The 17,764-nt window shown below is 52.9% G+C and overlaps 1 long non-coding RNA gene and 4 pseudogenes across 4 annotated transcripts; 4 read left to right on the forward strand and 1 right to left on the reverse strand.

Moving 5' to 3' along the window:
- Positions 1-1,474: 1,474 nt before the first annotated feature.
- LOC105372331 (uncharacterized) lies at positions 1,475-2,142 on the reverse strand. 2 transcript variants are annotated; one of them, XR_936470.1, is made up of 3 exons: positions 2,091-2,142; positions 1,877-1,975; positions 1,475-1,620 (listed from the first exon to the last, which is right to left on the reverse strand). It is a non-coding gene; the product is annotated as an uncharacterized LOC105372331 (long non-coding RNA). The 2 variants fall into 2 exon arrangements; XR_936469.2 differs by lacking the exon at positions 2,091-2,142 and having other exon boundaries at positions 1,877-2,067.
- A 207-nt stretch (positions 2,143-2,349) lies between these two features.
- On the forward strand, positions 2,350-9,643 carry GOLGA2P9 (GOLGA2 pseudogene 9; annotated as a pseudogene). Its single transcript, NR_033899.1, has 10 exons — positions 2,350-2,512; positions 3,377-3,493; positions 5,522-5,629; positions 5,799-5,886; positions 6,261-6,379; positions 7,453-8,131; positions 8,390-8,608; positions 8,696-8,798; positions 8,881-8,985; positions 9,312-9,643. The product of NR_033899.1 is annotated as a GOLGA2 pseudogene 9 (transcript).
- On the forward strand, positions 7,578-7,800 carry RN7SL860P (RNA, 7SL, cytoplasmic 860, pseudogene; annotated as a pseudogene).
- A 4,465-nt stretch (positions 9,644-14,108) lies between the features above and the next one.
- LOC100996349 (testis expressed 264, ER-phagy receptor) lies at positions 14,109-14,594 on the forward strand (annotated as a pseudogene). The gene has a single exon (NR_103470.1). The product of NR_103470.1 is annotated as a testis expressed 264, ER-phagy receptor (transcript).
- On the forward strand, positions 15,699-16,887 carry RAD54L2P1 (RAD54L2 pseudogene 1; annotated as a pseudogene).

Consider the following 17,764-nt stretch of genomic DNA (forward strand, 5'->3'; position numbering starts at 1 on the left):
GATGGATGAAGGTTGTTAGAGGAGGGAAGTGGGGAACTGATGAGGAATGAGGTTGGGGAACTGATGAGGAATGAGGTTGGGGAACTGATGAGGAATGAGGTTGGAAAGGAAGGATGTAGAAGTCAGATTCCAAAGGGCCTTGCAAGTCTCATAAAGGAGCAGCTTGAATATGACTTAAATGGTAGCCATCCTATCCAAACTTCAAATTCCTGCTTTAAAGTATTTCTGGAGCTCCTTCATCTTGCTTGATGTAGTGAAGAATATAGTCCTGGCTCAGCTGCCGTGACTTAAACATGACAAACTGTATTCCAGTAGAAACTGATTTTGGTTGAGGAAATTATTTTACCCTAGAGTAAAATAATCAGGAAAAAAAAACACTTCCTTATATGAACTTGTATCTTCCTGACAAACAGCATTCATTGTCTATAGTTCTTTTTGCTGAGATACATTTATTTTATTTTAATCTTTGGGTTAGATAGGACACAATGGACTGTCCTATTTTGTGGTAAGGGTGCCTCACCAATAATCTGTTATAAAAAATAAAGTATTGCACTTTGTGAATGTTTAATATAATTTAAAAGTAAACTCAGATTCAAAATGTTCCTTATATATAACCATTATATTAGAATTCTTCTTTTTTGAGTGGAAGAGGAAGAAGAGTTATTTTTAGTATACATACTATTGTATATGGAGGTGTTTCATGAATGACAATGACATTTCTCAAGTATATCAAGGCAAATGATCAATTGACAAAAAGTGTGGTGCTCTGGGAGGGTGGGGGGACTCATTAAAGAAGGAATGAGCTAGTGGCTACAGGAGGCTACATTCTTTTTTTTTTTTTTTTGACAGAGTCTCCTCTTTCACCCAGGCTGGAGTGCAGTGGCGCTATCTCAGTGCAGAGGCTACATTCTTAATCCTGGCCAATCATCTTATACTCAAAGAGCCAGGAAAAAAGAGTGTGTGTATTAGGGTTCTCCAAAGAAACAGTACCAATAGGAGACAGATAGATAGATAGACAACATAATTTACTAAGGGAACTGACTCACGGGATTATGGAGGTTCTTCTGAAATAAAATGGAAGTTTTGTCTTTGTGTCTGCTTGAGTACCTGCTCAGGAACCCTGAACTTAGTTCTAGGAATGCAACAAATTCTAATTTTTGGATTGCTAACTCAGGGTTAAAAAGAATCCTGTACATTCCCACTTTATTATCAACCACCTTAAATGTGGTTAATTATGTGAAATTATGGTTAAGGTGAGGGGTAAATATGGAGAAAAAGAAGGGGGCTTCCCTGTATTCACTAGACTTTTATTTCGTTCCAGGGCTTATGACAGAGCCCAAGAGAGTCAGAGAAGCTTTCTACAAATTCAGCTGTCGCATTCATTTTCTTACACACTAGAGTTGCCACTTAAAAATACTAAAATAAAATAAAAAATTAATGTTGACCATCTAACAGGAATACTTGACTCAGCTACTAAGTTACAAATTTGCTTCATTTTTGGAAGACATCTAGCATCTGAGAATTGGACTTTTCCCAGAAGTTCACTTGGTAACCTCAGGTAAGTCCTGGTTCATCCTGGAGAGGATCCGAGGGGAAAGCCTGATGGGACCCACGGCCGCCCTGAGAAGAAAGGGGTGCTGTGGGGTGCGGGAGGAGGAGGAGCTGGGAAGCAGGAGCGCCCGGGACTGGATCTAGCTGGAAAGGGGGCAGATGCTCTCCCGGAATCAGGGTAGGTACCCTCTAGGAATGGGACGTTCCGAGAGGGGGGTGTGTCTGGAACATTGGCTAGGGGTCCTTAGAGGTGATTTCTGGGAAGGGAAGGTCTGGGGCAGGGCTGTGAGGAGTCAGGAAAGAAACTGTGGAGTCCGTTCCTCACCCACTTCCTGAGCCCTAGGTTCCGAGGCCCCCAGGTCAGGGGGTTCAGTGGCGCAGGAGGGTCCAGGGCAGGAGTTGGTGAGTCACCTCTCAGGTCCACCTGTAAAGGAACTCTGACTCAGAGCATGAGGGTAGCCCAAGAAGCTTCGACTTCACCCAGAGAAAGTCTGCCCGCCGTTCTGCCCCTGGAGCAGGAGGCACCGCCCCTCTCTCACCCTTAGAGCCGGCGGCCCCGCCCCTTTCCTCCCACTGGAGCCTGCGGCCCCGCCCCCGCCCGCTCCCGGAGTCAGCGGCCCCGCCCCTCTCCCCAGAGTGGGCGGGGCCGCAATTGCCTGCTCAGCTTTCCTTGTGACGCCTCATATCCCCCTGGGTGCGCTGTTGCCTGGCTGCGCTTCCTTTTTCTGTCATCTTTCGCATCGACCAATGGGCTTGGAGCATGGAGGCCACGCCCCCCCTCTGCCCTAGTTGGCCCTGGTTACACCTTCTCTGGTCAGTCTCACAGCTGCGCGGTGGCAGACAGGACTTGTTCCACAGTGGTAACTGGGATAGAGCTGATGTGGCCCCAACCCCACCTCCCTTCCCGCCCTGCCATGTCGGAAGAAACCCGACGAGCAAATTGGCAGCAGCAAAGAAAAAGGTACAAGCGCCTGGTGGCAGCCCAACGACCCAGCCCCAGGTGCCGTCTGATGGCAGGACCACGGCCAGAGCTCATGCCACTCCCGAGGCTCACTGGGTTGGGCCCCCAGCTGCCTCTGGGCTCCCTCTACCAAAGTCTTGTCAGTGAGCCCCTCCCCTCAACAGCCCAGACCCTGCCTGGAGTGAGATTTGCTTATTTACCATGAAACAGATCTTGGGAAACTGAACTTGACACTTGAATCTTCCTCATATCTCAACCTAGGTGACTTTGAGTGCCACAGGGTAATATGGGGCATCTTTCTGAAGCATCAGTTTCCCTTGATTCTCTTGAGAGAGAAAAAACGTTCATGGACTTAGGGATGACAGCCCCATAGATTTCTAAGAGTATACCAAAATTCACTCTGAAAAGAGGCTTGGGTTGTCCTCTTTCTGTTCAATTCCCAGATGTAACAGAAAGGCTGCCTTCTGCCATGAGGACTCATTGATGTAAGAGTTTGAGAGGGGCTGCTGCACTTCCTACACTAACAGACATGTGATGATGTGTGACTCTAAACCACACAGTACCCAGTTCCTGCCTACTTAGTGTCTGTTTTTCTACCTCTGCCTCTGGTATTGGGCCCTGGCAGCTGCTGATTTGTGGCAAAACCCCAGATCTTGGAGTCAGAAGACAGAGTTCAAGTTCAATTATTGCCTTTTTTAAGCCGTGGTATCAATCCCTCTCAGTCATTAAGTCATTAAGACAACACCTTGTACAGTTGTTTGTGGCAATAAATCAGATGGCATAAAAGAAAGTTCTGTAAAAACTGTAAAGGCAGATGTGATTGTAGGGACTTCTCATGAGAATTCCTGCTCTTCTTTTCCACAGTTGAGAGACTATCAGTGGAGGAACAGCCCTGGTGTTCCTACAGGAGTGAAAAAGAAAATTAAAAATTGCAGTAACCCCGAGACAACCACTTCTGGTGGTTGCCACTCACCTGGAGATGTGAGTCTTGGCTGGCCAGGCTCCTGGGGACAGGGGGCCCAAGGGCAGTAGAGGGTACTTGTTAAGATTGTGGAAGAACTGTTGGGTCCTGGTTAAGAATTCTGGGTTTGAATCCTATCTCTCCCTCTGCTAGGGATATGATGTAGGGCAAATTGCTTGAGCTCTTTGGGCCTCTCTTTTCACATCTGTAAAATAAGGGTGGTATTGTTTGACTTACACTTGTGAAGCTTAAATGAGATTAGTTATTATTTTTATGTTAATGCCAAGTACAGGGCCTGCCATAAACACCCAGGACACCCAGGAAATGGTAGTTGCTGTTTCATTTTCCTCATCCCCAGTCTCAAGGGAAAGCCAGGCTAATGGGAACAGCCACTTGCCATCAGGCTGTCTCTTTTGGAGTGACCGAAAGGGCCCAAGGGTGCGATGAGGAGAGCCCCAAGCACTAAGATTGGGAGAAGATCTAACTTTTGAGCTCATCTTTGCCTCCAGCGTGCTGGGTGACCACAGAAAAATCACTTCTTCCCCTTGGCCTCTTTAACTCCTCTGTAAGATGACACTGGATAAGATCAGTGTCTTTCAGACTTGTTTTTTAGCTGGAGCCTCCTATGTTGAAGTGAACCCTTACTCAAAAGTCTGGTTTTTTAAATGGAGGTGGAGGTCTAGTGCTCTACCAGATTTATCCCCACATCCTGGGCCTGAGGAGAGCGGTCCAATGAGAGTATTCAGAGCAGCATTGTCAGGTGACTCCACCCTGTGTGACTGCACCACTCAGGGGACTTTTCCATCTATTTGTTTCTGCCCCTGGCAAGGCAGCAGGCAGCCATTTGGAAGGCACAGCCCCTGGTCTTGATCTCCTCCGCTCTTCTTCAACATTTCGCTTCCCTGAAGCCACCTCTTCCTCCTCCCCTGAATCTCTTGCCTCTCTCTAAGCCTCTTCTGTCTTTGTCCACCTGCCCTTGTTCTACCCTTTTGGCCTCCTGTGGATTCTCCTTCCTCCCGCTGCCAAGCATAGCCTGACACCCACAGTGCCAACTCAGAGAGGGAAGAGCCTCCTCACCCAAGCCTCTGGAGTCCAGAAGACAGGAGCTCCAGGAGGGCCCCACCCTCACACCCTACCTTTCCAGATGCTCTCTCCAGCTGTGCATGCCGCTGAGGCTCCTCTGGTTTGGGGGATACTTTGCCTCTGGCTTATTTTATGTTGCTGCCATTTCCCTTCTGACTGTTTATGTCTGCTTCTTCACCTGTTTGATTGATTGGGTTTTTTTCCTTCACCCACATCTTTTATTATCTTGGAGAAAGTGAGACATATCTTAAAGGTTAGAGGTAATTTGGGAATAACTTTAAGAGCAGGCATATGGAATTTGGGGCTTTTTTTCTTAGAGACAAAGTCTCACTCTCTCGCCCAGGCTGGAGTGTAGTGGTGTGATCTCAGCTCACTGCAACATCCACTTCACAAGTTCAAGCAATTCTCCTGTCTCAGCCTGCTGAGTAGCTGGGATTACAGGCGCCCGCCACCACACCTGGCTAATTTTTGTATTTTTAGTAGAGACAGGGTTTCACCATTTTGGCCAGTCTGATCTTGAACTCCTGAGCTCAAGCGGTCCACCTGCCTCAGCTTCCCAAAGTGTTAACATTACAGGCATGAGCCACCATACCCAGCCTGAGATCTTTTTAAAATTATTTAAGTTTTTATTTCTAAAGCAAAGTAACTTGACAGTAGAGATCTTTATTGACCGAGTTGTACATTGAGCCTAGCCCTAGCCCTTTTAAGGGGCACTGTGTGGAACAGCCTGGGGTCCCCAGACCTAAACTTCTCACTCTTCACCATCCAGTTTTCAAGCCGGTGTGAAGCCCCTGATGCTAACCAGCAGTTATGACAGGCCATGGAGGAGCGGGCACAGCTGGAAGCACACCTGGGGCAGTGAGGCTTTGCAGAGGGAGGGATGTGGAAGGAAGATGACCCCAGGTGGCTAGGAGCAGGAGAGGACCAGTGACAGTCCTTCCTAACTTCTGCACCCATTCTTGCAGGTAATGGAGGCATGTAGACAAATACAACTGGAGAGAGATACATTTGCTGAGATTCTTAAAGGAGAGAGAGCCACATGGCAGCAGAGGATGAATCAGATGTCGGAGCAGGTGAGACCTGACACTTCAGCCCCCACTTTAGATCTTTCTGGGCATCTGTAAAATGGGAGGGGTGGTCATGAGTCTGGGCTTTGTGGAGGAGAGGGCAGAGAGGGAGATGGTAGCCTGTCCAGCCAGCAGCCCCCCTCTCCAGGGCCCTTTCCCCCTGTGCTTTGTGCAGATGCACACACTGAGGGAGGAGAAGGAGTGTATTATGAATCGGTTACAGGAGCTGGAGACAAGCTTGGTGGAATTGAGAAAACAGATGAGTAAGCTGAGGCTGGGGTGACCTGGGAGGAGGGCTAACATCAGAGGGCCATGGGGGGTGGGTTAGAATGTCCTAGGGAGGTGGGTGGATGGAAGGACTTTGAGGCAGAGGAAAAGAGGTATGTGCCAGGAGATGACAAGTCTGGTTATCTCCATGAGCCTCAGTTTCCCAGTCAGCAAAGAGGGAGGAGTGCCTATTGTCAGCCACCCACACATGTCTGTATCTGTAAGTGGCTTAGAAGATTGGCTACCATCCAGGTGTGGGGAATCATTAGCAGGGAGGCCAAGTTTGTGGAGCCTGAGAGGAGCTGTGGACCAAGAGGAAGATTTTTTTTAAGATTCCAGAGGCCCTTATTGTCTGCTTTTTTTTCCTCAGCTGAACTCCCAGCCCTGGCACCCCCAGCAAGGCCCTCCGAGGTGGAGCAGCAGCTACAAGAGGAGGCTGAGCACCTGAGGGAGGAGCTGGAGAGTCTGGCAGGACAGCTCCAAGCCCAGGTACAGGACAATGAGGGCTTGAGTTGCCTGAACCGGGAGCAGGAGGAGAGGCTGCTGGAGCTGGAGCGGGCAGCTGAGCTCTGGCGGAAGCAAGTGGAGGCACAGAGACAAATCCTGTAGACCATGGAGACCACACCGCTGTCAGCCACGTGCTCTCCCAGACCTGTGAGGTCAAGGAACAGCTGGCCGAGCTGCAGAGTGGCTTCATAAAGCTGGTGCACGGCCCCACCTGGGGAGCCAGCCCTCCTCCCTAGCCCTTTGGGCCTTTGTTTTCCCACCTGTCAAATGGGGCCGTGTAGCCCTCACGTGAAATGGCACTTCTGAGGGCACCTGTGAGCCAGAGCCCTGCTCCAATGGCTGTGGGGAGGTGGGGATGATTTTTCTAACCTGACTTCACCCTTCCTGGTGCCATGGGAGGCAGACACCAAGTTCTGGGCTCTCCAGCTGCAATGAAGTTAGCATCTTCTTCGCAGAGGTGCCAAGGATTAAATGAGATAATACGTGGAGAGAATTAGGCATGTCGGACACTTAGCAGATGATGGCTGGCTCCTGCTTTTCCACCATTCTGTGGCCTACAGTTTAAGTGGTGGGAAGAAGAGTGTGAGATTTCATGCAGGGAAGGAGGCATGGGGCTCTAGGCAGTCTCTCAGGCCTGGAGCAAGGGGCCACGGGCCTGGGCAGGAGACACAGCCCTGCAGTGCCCTAGGTACCCTATTCATAGGCCCAGAATTTGAAAGCAGGCCACCACCTGCAGGTCTTCCTGCAGGTAGAGATGAAGAGCCAAGAGGCTCAGAGTCTGCAGCCGCAGCAAGACCAGTCCCTGGGTCCCCTGCATCAGTACATGGCCACTTGTCAGCAGCTGAGCTCTGAGATGGAGGCGCTGCACAGGCAGTTACTGCTGCAGACCCAGCTCATGGACCAGCTGCAGCAGCAGGAAGCTTAGGGCAAAGCGATGGCCGAGATGGCCCACCAAGAGTTGCGGGGGACCCAGGTGTGGGAGTTGCTGAGGGCGGGTCCCAAGGGGGACGACCTGGCAGCCTCTGTGCCTTCAACTCTCTTTCCCCGCCCCTTAGGAGCACCTGGAAGCTGCCAGCCAGAGAACCAGCAGCTACAGGCCCAGCTGAGCCTCATGGCTCTCCCTGAGGAAGGTACGGGAGATCACTCAGAGGAAGAGGAGGGAGCCCAGGAGGAAGGGGGGACTGTTAGCAGATAGGAGTGAGGAGTTTAGAACAGCTGGTCACTATGCCGACCGGGTTTCTGCGTTAAGTTCGGCATCAAAACGGTGACCTGGGAGTAGAGGGGCCACCAGGTTGCCTAAGGATGGGTGAACTGGCCCAAGTCAGAAATGAAGCAGGTCAGAACTCCCCTGCCGGGCAGTAGTGGAACTGAGCTTGGGCAACATAGTGCGACTTTGGTTCTCAAAAAAAAAATAAAAATAAATTACAGCTGCTCATTCCCCTCTGGAGAGGGACTGGCCCAGGGTTATACAGTGACGGTTGAGGCAGAGGTGGGCCCACCCTACTTCCCTTGTTGGGTCGCGTGAGGACCCCTCTAGCTCTGTGCCCTAGGAGGTAGACTGGACGGAGGGTGGGGGAGAAGGAGGGGCGGGGGGGGGAGGAGGAGGAGGATGAGGATGAGGAGGAGAAGGAGAAGGAGAAGAAGAAGAAGAAGAAGGAGGAGAAGGAGAAGGAGGAGGAGGCGTCTCGGCCCATGAAGAGCATCCTGCAGGACCTGGAAAGCCAGGAGTCCATGGTTAGCCTACTCCCCCTGCCCCACCTTTGCCCCCTCCCTCTGTGGTCCCTCCCAGACCCGCTTATGCTTTTGGTTTCCTGCTTTCTTATTTCTCTGGATCCTCACCCCTTTCCTGGGAGCCAGTGGTCAGACAGATACCATTTGACCTGTGACCAACAGGTGCACACTCTGAGGCCCCAAGCGAAGGGCTCCTCTCCACCTCCCTGCCCCGTTGGTCCTGTATATCCCCCAAGAAGAATGCACACCTCTTGCCTGCAGGTGGCATTTTTAACATCAGCTGTAGCCAGTGCAGATGGGGAGCAGGCTCGGCTCCGTGGGCAGCTGAAGGAGCAAAGGCTGCGCTGCCGGTGCCTGGCTCACCTGCTGGCCTGGGCCCAGAAGCAGCCAGAGGCAGCAGCCCCAGCCCCAGGGACTGGGATGGATTCTGTGTGTGGGGGGACCCACCGGGCCCTGCAGGGTGCCATGGAGAAACTGCAGGTGAGTGAGTCTCTTCTGGCATGGGCCAAGAAGGGTGTGAGCGAGGCAGTTCACTGCCGAGATGTGACCCCATTCTTTTGGCTCCAGAGCTGCTTTATGCAGCTGATGCAGGAAAAGGTGGACCTGAAAGAGCGGGTGGAGGAGCTGGAACATCGCTGCATCCAGCTCTCTGGAGAGACAGACACCATCGGTGAGGCGGAGGCCAGGGCACGGCAGGGGGAGCTGCCCAGTGGGTGAAGGGAACCCAGCGTCTGAGCCCTGTCCTCTCGCAGGAGTCTACACTGCCCTCTCTCAGCCAGGGGGCAGCGCTGAAGGAGCAGCACCGAGAGGAGGAGGAGCACATCCACAGGCTAGCCCAGGACAAGGAGGAGATGAAGGCAGGGCGTGGAGCTTCTCTGCCCGGCGGGGGGCTGCGGGGAGGGTGCAGCTTCAGGCATGGCAGCTGAACACCCTCTCCTCCAGGTGAAGCTGCTGGAGTTGCAGGAGCTGGTGTTGCGGCTTGTGGGCGACAGGACTGAGGGCCATGGCAGATTCCTGGCAGCTGCCCAGAGCCCTGCTCATGAGCCAGCTCCAGGGGCCCCAGCCCCCCAGAGCTCAGGGCTGCCGACAAGCAGGGTGATGAGTAGTGCCCTCAGGCGGTTTGGGCAGGCAAGAGCAAGGGAGGCTGGCAGTGTGCTCAGAGCCCTCCTCCCTCTCTCCAAAGATCTTTGCCAGGTGACCCTCACCAGCAGCGTGGAGCCTGCACAAGGAGAGGCCGGGGAGGGTTCTCCCCTCGACAACCCCAGTGCACAGCAGATCATGCAGCTGTTTGGTGAGATGCAGAACCCTCAGGAGCGCCCAGGCTTGGGCAGCATCCCCTGCATTCTGTTTTCCCACCAGGCTGACAAAAACCACCAGGTGAAGATCACCCTCATCTGAAAGCCAGTTGCCTTCAGCAAAGCCAGGAGAAGGGGGGTGGGAGGCTCCGCCCCCCCATGTCCCTCCCACCCCTTTGCAGTCACCCCTTTACCCTTAAAGTAAATGGATTTAGCCATACTGCTTGGCCTGGCGTATCCTGTTTCCCTCACTGGGTCCTGGGGTTTGTGCCACTGAATGGGGGCCCCAGAATGTCTGAGCATGTCGAGCTGGGCTGCTGGGGACCTTCCAGGCCTGTTACCTGCATGCTGCCTGGTGACACCTGGGGGATTCCACAGGTGGAATGGCACCCATGGGGGACAGTCCGGCCCTAATGGCCAACAGGCTCAGAAGCCTGATCTCTCGGTGGCTGGGAAGGCAGGGTGCCAGCACCCAAGGGCACTGACTTTCATCCAGCCCAGGCAACTTCAGTCCCATCCCCCTGTCTGCCTCACCTGCCTGTGCCTGGTAGCCTGTTCTGTGCCTTCCGTCCAGCCCAGGCAACTGCAGTCCCATTCCCCTGTCTACCTCACCTGCCTGTGCCTGGTGGCCTGTTGCATCCCTCCCTCCAGAGTGCAGGTGCCCCACAGGCTCCCTCTAGGCTGAGCTCATGGCCCTGCTCCTAGTGGCCAGAGGTGGCTTCCAGGATGAGCCAGCTAAGCTCCAGGGTCTTTCCGGGAAAAGAGTTCCTTGGAAAGCATGTGAACTTTTCACCGCTTCCGACAACCATGAAAGCTCTGAGCCAGGTTTAGATGCCGTAGGATTCAAGGGGGCAGCAAGGGGTCCAGAGCTGCAGACAGCTGAGGGTGACCATTGGGGTCTGCTCAGGCAAGATCCTGGAGTAGGTGACCACGTCCAAGGCAAACTGTGACTAAAAGGAAGTGCTGGGTTGGCCAGAATAGAGGAGGCTGAGTGCTGAGAATCCCCAGGGGATCTCGGAGGGGGCGTGGAAAGGGCCATAATGGGAGGGCAGAGGTGAGAACAGGGAATGATGATGTCACAGTGCTGAGCAGCGGGGCTGGGGACGGAGTAAGTGGAGGTGGAGGGAGTAGCCTGTTTAAACCTGGAGCTCATCCCTATGAACATGAACTACTGGCAAAAAAAAATCTTTTTAAAAGAAAAACTTAATAAACTTAGGGGTCAGTAGGCCCTTGATAGGGGAGAAACAAGCCTTTAAAGTGAGCGAAACCCAGGATTGAGGGTACGAGGTCTGTGCTGAATCTCCTGGATTCAGGATTATATCCCCTGAGGGCCCAGCCGGAAGGCTGGAACAGACCTGGGCACCTGGAAAGCTGACATGGGAAACAGGTAGCAGGTGAGACAAAGTGGGTCCTTGATGCCAGGAGGAGAAGTGAGTGCTGGGCCTTGCGGCCTTGGGTCCATCCTAGGAAGTGCTGGAGGTTCACACAAGAGCCCTGCCTGGCTGGGGTTTCTGGGAGCCAGAGGAGGAAAGTTAGGTTGGGAGGGAGCAGAGTGGGAAGCACAGCTACTAGCAGCCTAGAGACTTGGAGGGAGCCAGCAGTCTCGGCTTTTAGCCAGGAAGGGACTTAGGAAGTGGATAGTTTCCTGGGTGGGTCATGGTTTGGAGAAGTCTAGAGACTCGGGATGGTCGCTGACCTCCCTAAGGGATGGGGAGGGTGATCTCTTCACAGAAATTCATCAGCAGCCCTGAGGTCAGCGATCCCCATCCCATGTCCTGACAGGTGCCTCCTGCAGCCCCTCCACCGCCACTTGCCAGGTTCTGACCCTGCAAGCACATGTGTAAACACACACATATGTTCCTGCTTTCCTCCGGCAGCACCTTGCAGGGTTCTGAGCTCTTTATTCCCACTCCTCCATTTTGCTCCCTTTCCTGCCATAATTTCTCTGCCCGTGAAGCCTGCTCTTCTTCAGCAGATAGGAGGAACATGAGCTAATAGGGATGTGCTGGGCCCAGGCTGCAGGATCAGTCCCCCTGCAGTCCTGCCCTGGGGAGTGGGGCTGACAGAAGGTCTCATCGGGAGATGGAAGCGCCTCCTCAGCGGTGCTGTCAGTGGACATGTGGAGGGTGACGGTTCACAGGTCCTCTCTGTCCTTCCTACTCCTGGCCTCCTGGAGGGCAAAGAACGAGCCTAACCCCTCACTAGAATCCCTGGTTCTCCAGAGGGTGTGGCATGTTTGTGGAAGGAATAAATAAAGGAATGGCCGAGAGTCCTGCAGTAGGATGCCACGGGTGGGGGCACAGGTGGGTTCCAGTAGGAAAACGGCCAGCTGTGTCCTGGTCTCAGGGCCTCCTTCCTTTGATCAGCTCTCATGCACATGCTTTCCTTTCCCCGGTTCCTCTTGGCAAGTGCTGTTGTGTCCTGGGCAGCCTCCTGAGTGAAGGTGAGGAATCTCCCTCCCCTGAGCTCATCCACATCTACCAGAAATTTGACTTCAAGGCATTCTCCTTCCAGGCACCCAGCCACGTGGTGACAGCCACCTTCCCCTACACCACCATGCTGTCCATCTGGGTGGCTGCCTGCCATATCCATTCTGCCTTGGACACCTACATCAAGGTGATGCACAGGCCTGGAGTTTGTGTGTTGGGGACAGCCAGGTCCCTTGGGTGGAGCTGAGTAGGATTGCCCAGAGTGGGAGGAAGAGGTGATTTGGGGAGAGCAGCACTCTGGGGCCCTCATGGAACAGGTACCTGTGGAGCCAGGAAGATGGGCCGAGGTGTTGGCATCTCTTTCAGATGCCCAAGACCTTGTGGGAGCCAGAGCATCTCCCAAGAGCATGGAGAGCTTGTTCATGAACCTGGTCTGGTTGGTTTGGCTCTGGCTTTGACCAAAGACATGCTTAGTGCTAATCCCACACTCCTGGCTCAGATGGAAGGACAGTCCACTTTTCTCTCCCACTGCTAGAAGCCTGCAAAGCAAGGACCTGAGGCTCCCCGTGGCTGGGCAGGCCCCAGGTAATCACGTGTTGCCCTTGGCCCTGCCTCTGCTATGCACCTGCTCCCTGAGCCCAGGGCTGGGGCAGCAATGGCAGGCCCTTCTCCTTTACTTCCTAACCTGGTCACTGGCCATGGTGGCAGCACACCCTTCCTGGAGGAAGGAGAGCCAGCCACCAGGTTGTCTGACAGAGGTCTGTGTGTCTACAGAGATTTTTTTAAAACTTGCCCTTTTACGCATCCCTCCTCCTCTAAATGTTTTGTAAACCTGGAAACCAGGAAAATGACCCATTGGGGCTTGGAAGTGACTGTTGATTCATTCATTTAACTTGTTTATTTTCTGTGCGCCGGGTGCTATAATGGGCACAATGTGAATGAAACTTTGGTGCATGAAACAGGCATTTACAATGAGGTGGTGAAGACAGGTAATCAATGTCAGACAAAAATGGGACATGTGCTAGAGAAGGAGAGGGTGAGAAAAGTCAGGGAACCGACTTAAACAGAATGATCAGGGACAACCTCTCAGGGGAGATCACCTCAAGGCAGAGTCCTAGAGGAGCCTTTGGAGAAGAGGTAAGAACATTCTAGGCAGAGCTTTGGTCTAAATGCAGCAGGAAGTCACTGCAGTGTTCCAACCAGGAAAATAACACAGTTGGAGCAGCGTGTGTGCAAGGTGGGCTGTCCCATTCCCAGGCAGGAAGGGGCTGGACCACAGAACTGGGGTGAGGTAGAGGTGCTTAGGAGGCTGTCATGAATCCCTGTGTGAGTGGCAGCGGCTTGGGCAGGCCCAGTGGCTGTGGAGACGCAGACAAGGGCGGAGATTTACAGGCACTTTTGGAACAGAACTCACAGACTTCAGGTGGATTGGCTGTTGTGGGGAGAGGCAGTGAGGGAGTCACAGCGGGCTCCACTTCTCTCTGGCCTGGGCAGGTGGGCAAGCATGTAGTGATGCTTTTCACTGATGTGTGGGGGAACTGAGGGAGGCCCTGGTTTTGGGGGGAAGCCAGGTTATTGGGCTATCTCAGGGGAGCTGCCTGAGAGACATCCAAGTTAGGGGTGTGGAGTGGGCAATGGGATGTGTGGTCTGGAGTTCAGAAAGGGCTGGGCTGGTGGATATGTTTGGGGACATCAGCCTGCTGGCAGTATTTGACCAGCTGCCCTGTGCCTCCTGCCTCGGTGGGGCCAGGTAGGCCATGGACAGCCTGGGGCAGCAAGGGCTGGGCAGAGGGCATGGTCAGTGTGGCTGGGGTCAGGGAACAGGACAGGAGAGTCTGTGGGAGTGGGAGCTTGGAACACTTGGAGGATCCTTGCAACTTTGTTCACCAGAGCAGGCTGGGAAAAGGGACAGGGTGATGGGAATGGAAATGGAAGCTCTCCCAAAGTGCTGGGATTACAGGCGTGAATCACCGTGCCTGGCCTTCCCTCTGCCTTTTTCCCACTGCCCCATCAGGGCAGAAGGCAGCTGCAGTGAGGCAGTGAGCGCCCTGGGACTGGGTGGCTGCATTCTTCATGACTGTGCTGTGTGTGCTGAGCTGCCTTTTCCTGGAGGAGAAGGCGGAGTGGACCTGGCTAACCTGGGCTCCCTTTTCCTGGCCATAGGAACTGACATGATGAGTGACACGAGTTCTGGAAGCTTGGAGGTGAGCCCTGGTAGCCGGGAGACTTCATTTGCTACCGTGTCACCTGGGGAGAGCGGCCGCGGCTGGGAGGATGGTGACACCTGCAGTGAGTGCAGCTGCAGAGAGTCAGGTGCCAGCGGCTCCTCTTTTGAGGAGCTGGACCTGGAGGGTGAGGGGCCCTTGGAGGAACCACGGCTGGACCCTGAGACTGAGCCCCTGGGGGCTACCAAGTGGCCCTGAGAGCCCAGTACCCTGAGAAGGGCAAGGAGTAACCCATGACCAGCCCCCTCCTGCGGGGCAGGGCTGCGGAACCGAGCAGACTCTCCAGCCATCTTCCTCCTTCTTCTGGGGGCGAGGGGTTCCCAGGGGACGTAACTCCCCCTGCTCTAGGCCTCTTGTGAAGCCTTCTCCTCACTGTCCTTTAGGCTCCCAGGGCCAAAGCAGCCAAAGACTGTATCCTGCACCAGCCCTGTGGGCCGACACTCCTGTTGTATCTCTTTTTCAGACTGTCACTGGAGCTTCCAGGACCCAGAATAAAGCCAATGACTTACTTGTTTCACCTGGATTTGGGCTGCGTATTTGTTTGACAGTTTCACCTTTGTGGGGACCCCTGTATAGACCGGCCAGGAGTAGGAAGGAGCCTCCCCTCCCCAGGACGAGGAAAGGAGGGACCATGCCAAATACTGGGGTCGGGGAGGAGGGGTGGTGGAGATCCTCCAAGTCCTGCTCTGTGACCCCCAGCGGCCAGCCGCCCTCCACTGCAGCACTTTTTCACAGAGGTGGTTATATCTCTAGGATATGTTCCTTAAAGTGGGATTGCCAGGTCTAAGGGTGTATGTGTGGCCATGAACAGGGTTAAGAACTCTCGCCAAGCTCCCCTCAGTGGAAGTGGTTCTCATGTATCCTCCCAGCACTGAGACATGAGAGCTGCAATGCTCTCGTTCCTAGCTTTGTATTATAGAAATTTTAAATTTTCATACATAGAGAGAAGTTGAAAAAAAGCACCATGAGCACCCATGTACCCTGCACCTAGATTTAATGATTATCAGTTTTCATAAGCCTTCTTCTTTTCTCCCTCCCTTTCTATTATTTGAGTCATTTGTAAGTCGAAGACATCATGTCATTTTATCTCTAAGTACTTCAACATGCCTCCTTTAAAATTAAGAATATTCTGTTCTAGCCGCAATATCATTATTACACTTAGAAAAAGCTAACAATTCCATAGAATTACCTAGTATTCAGGCTGAAATTCAGACTTCCTGTTTGTCTCAGCTGTCTTTCATAGCTTTGGATTTTGTTTTGTTTTTAAATCAGAAGGAACTGCTTTTTAGCTTTATTTTCCTCTCTCTCCCACCCAAATCACTGTCTCTTACTGCAAGAAAAAGTCTGACCAGTTTTAAGAATGATGTCTTAGCGTTTTATATTCCTTATCTCATAGGATTCACTTTGGTATCATTTTACACATTGGGGGACTGCCTTGTCATGGATAGACATTTCAAATAATTTTTTTCTTTGTGACTGGAAAAGGTTGACTGGGAGATGTTGTTAGACATCAAACTAACAGAATTTCAGGGACCACAGGTCAGGAATTTTTTAATGGAATTTTCTCCTCTACCCTCCGCTCCCTGGGCATTCTGGTTCTCTGTTACCTATATTTTGTCTCCAGGTTCCCAGGTATCTTCTCGTCAGTCCACAAGCAACGTCAGACAAGTGTTTCTTCACCCAAAGACCCCCACCCTGCAGGGCTGCCCAGGCCCATCTCTCCTGACAGCCTGGAGATCATCAGTGAGCTTCAGCAGTGGGCAGATGTGGCTGCTGCCTGGGAATCCCATCAGAGTTCCCCAAGTACCAATGCTGCCCTGCCTGGCCCCCGGCCCACCTTGTGGACTGCACTGCTGTTCCCGGGACAGCTCTCAGAGCTGAGCCTGGACTCGGTGGTCATTGCCTCCATAGTTCCCTCTGGGTGACTGGCAGTTCTGTGGTCATAGGCACCCAGTGCTGGACTGAAGGGGCCACAAGTGGAAGTTGACCATACCATCTTCTCCCAGGAGTCAGCCTGCTGGTGGTCCAGCAAGGGCCATCTGCCAGCCCCTGTGCAGCTGCATGAATACAGGTGTCCAGTCTCTGGAGGGTTTGCCAAGCCACCTGTCTCCTTACATCATAACCTCACCACCCCTTCACCTCCTAAGCTGGGGACAACACTCTGTTTATGGGCAGTGCCCCCTCTTACTGCCAGCTACCCAATTTGCTGGCAGGTGCCCACCTGGTGTTTCCAGTGACTACTGACCCTCTGATGCCAGCCAGCAGGCCCTGTCCATTCCTCTTCTAAGCTACTTCCATCACTGCCAGCAGCCCCTCCTTCATGCTCAGCCCTTCTGTGCCAGGGAAACCACCCAGCTCTCCACTTCCATTCTCACAGCGACTCCTGACTGAGCTGAGGATGTTTGCACCTTTTCCTTCCCCTGTCGTGCCAAGCAACCTTTCATGGGGCATGTCTATCTACCCAGGCTACATGTCCCCATGGGCAGGCTACCCAGCTGGTGGCCTCCTTCCATTCCAGGTGCCTCTATTTCACTCTCATGAGGTTGCTGAAGTGGGGTTCAGCTCCAGTGATGATGAGAATAGGGACGATGATGTGATAGAGGTCACTGGGAAATAGCTGGGGAGCTCCTCTGCTCTTCAATTGGGGTCCCCAGGAGGTTGCCCACCAAGCTGGAAGGCAATGATTTGGACTTCTCCAGAATAGGAAACTTGGCAGAAGAGAACACAAAGGGGACAAAGGAGGGTGGTTGGCCATGGTGGCAGAGCTGTGTTGCTGTTTAACAAAAGAGGCAAAAAAAAAAAAAAAAAAAGCCCAACAGGGCAGCCAACAGCGGGAAATTGAAGACCCAAAGCAGGGCTGGAGAACTGCGCAGCCTCTCCCACTCCCTGCCTTGCTCATGCTGTCTGCTTGCTTGCTCGCCCATCAAAGTGCAAAAGCTCACATCCCATTTCTGTCTCTAGGATCATTCTTTCCAAAGAGACCTGCCTTACTGAGTGATTTAACTTGGCCTGGGGAGGGGAGGGAAGGGAGGAAGAGGGAAGAGCGAGTGAGAGAAGGAGGGTGGGCAGGGGAGCAAACTGTGATCCCAGGTGAAGTTGGGTCTTTTTATGGGGTGGAAGGAAGCTGACCAGGCTTGTGTGTTTGTGAGTCTGTGTGTGTTGATGTATGTATGTAACAGAGCAGGAGTAAAGGTGGGAGGGGAGGGAGGGAGAAACAAAGGGGGAAACTGAAATAAATTTATCTTTCTTCTAATGGAAATCAGAGTTTGGTCGTTCATGGCACCTATTAGTGTGAACATCAGGGTGAGCCCAGGTGAAGAACCATGGAAATTACAAGTTTCCTTCTGGTTGGGGGAAGAGAAGGCCCAGCTAACTCAAGTCCCTGGTTTTAAGAGCCACATTTGTTTGAGAATTTGGGGGAAATCATGAGAGAAAATGGGCATTACCAATCTGCGTCTCTTAACCCCCATGGCTCTCTGTGAGCAGCGTGGAAGGTTGTCTGTGTGCAGAGGCTGGGAGGGGGAGGCCCTGGAGCTGTGGCTGGAAAAGACATTTTTCACCGGTGGGACCTGAGCCCCCAGCTGCCTATCCTGGTGTCTTTCCTGTTCCTTTCCTTCCCCTTTAGAGAGCTCCATGTTAATTTATTTCTTATGGGCAATTACTTCTTACTTGGGCTTTTCATGTGTC

The sequence above is a fragment of the Homo sapiens genome, chromosome 19, assembly GCF_000001405.40.
Source record: "Homo sapiens chromosome 19, GRCh38.p14 Primary Assembly".
NCBI classification, from domain to species: domain Eukaryota; kingdom Metazoa; phylum Chordata; class Mammalia; order Primates; family Hominidae; genus Homo; species Homo sapiens.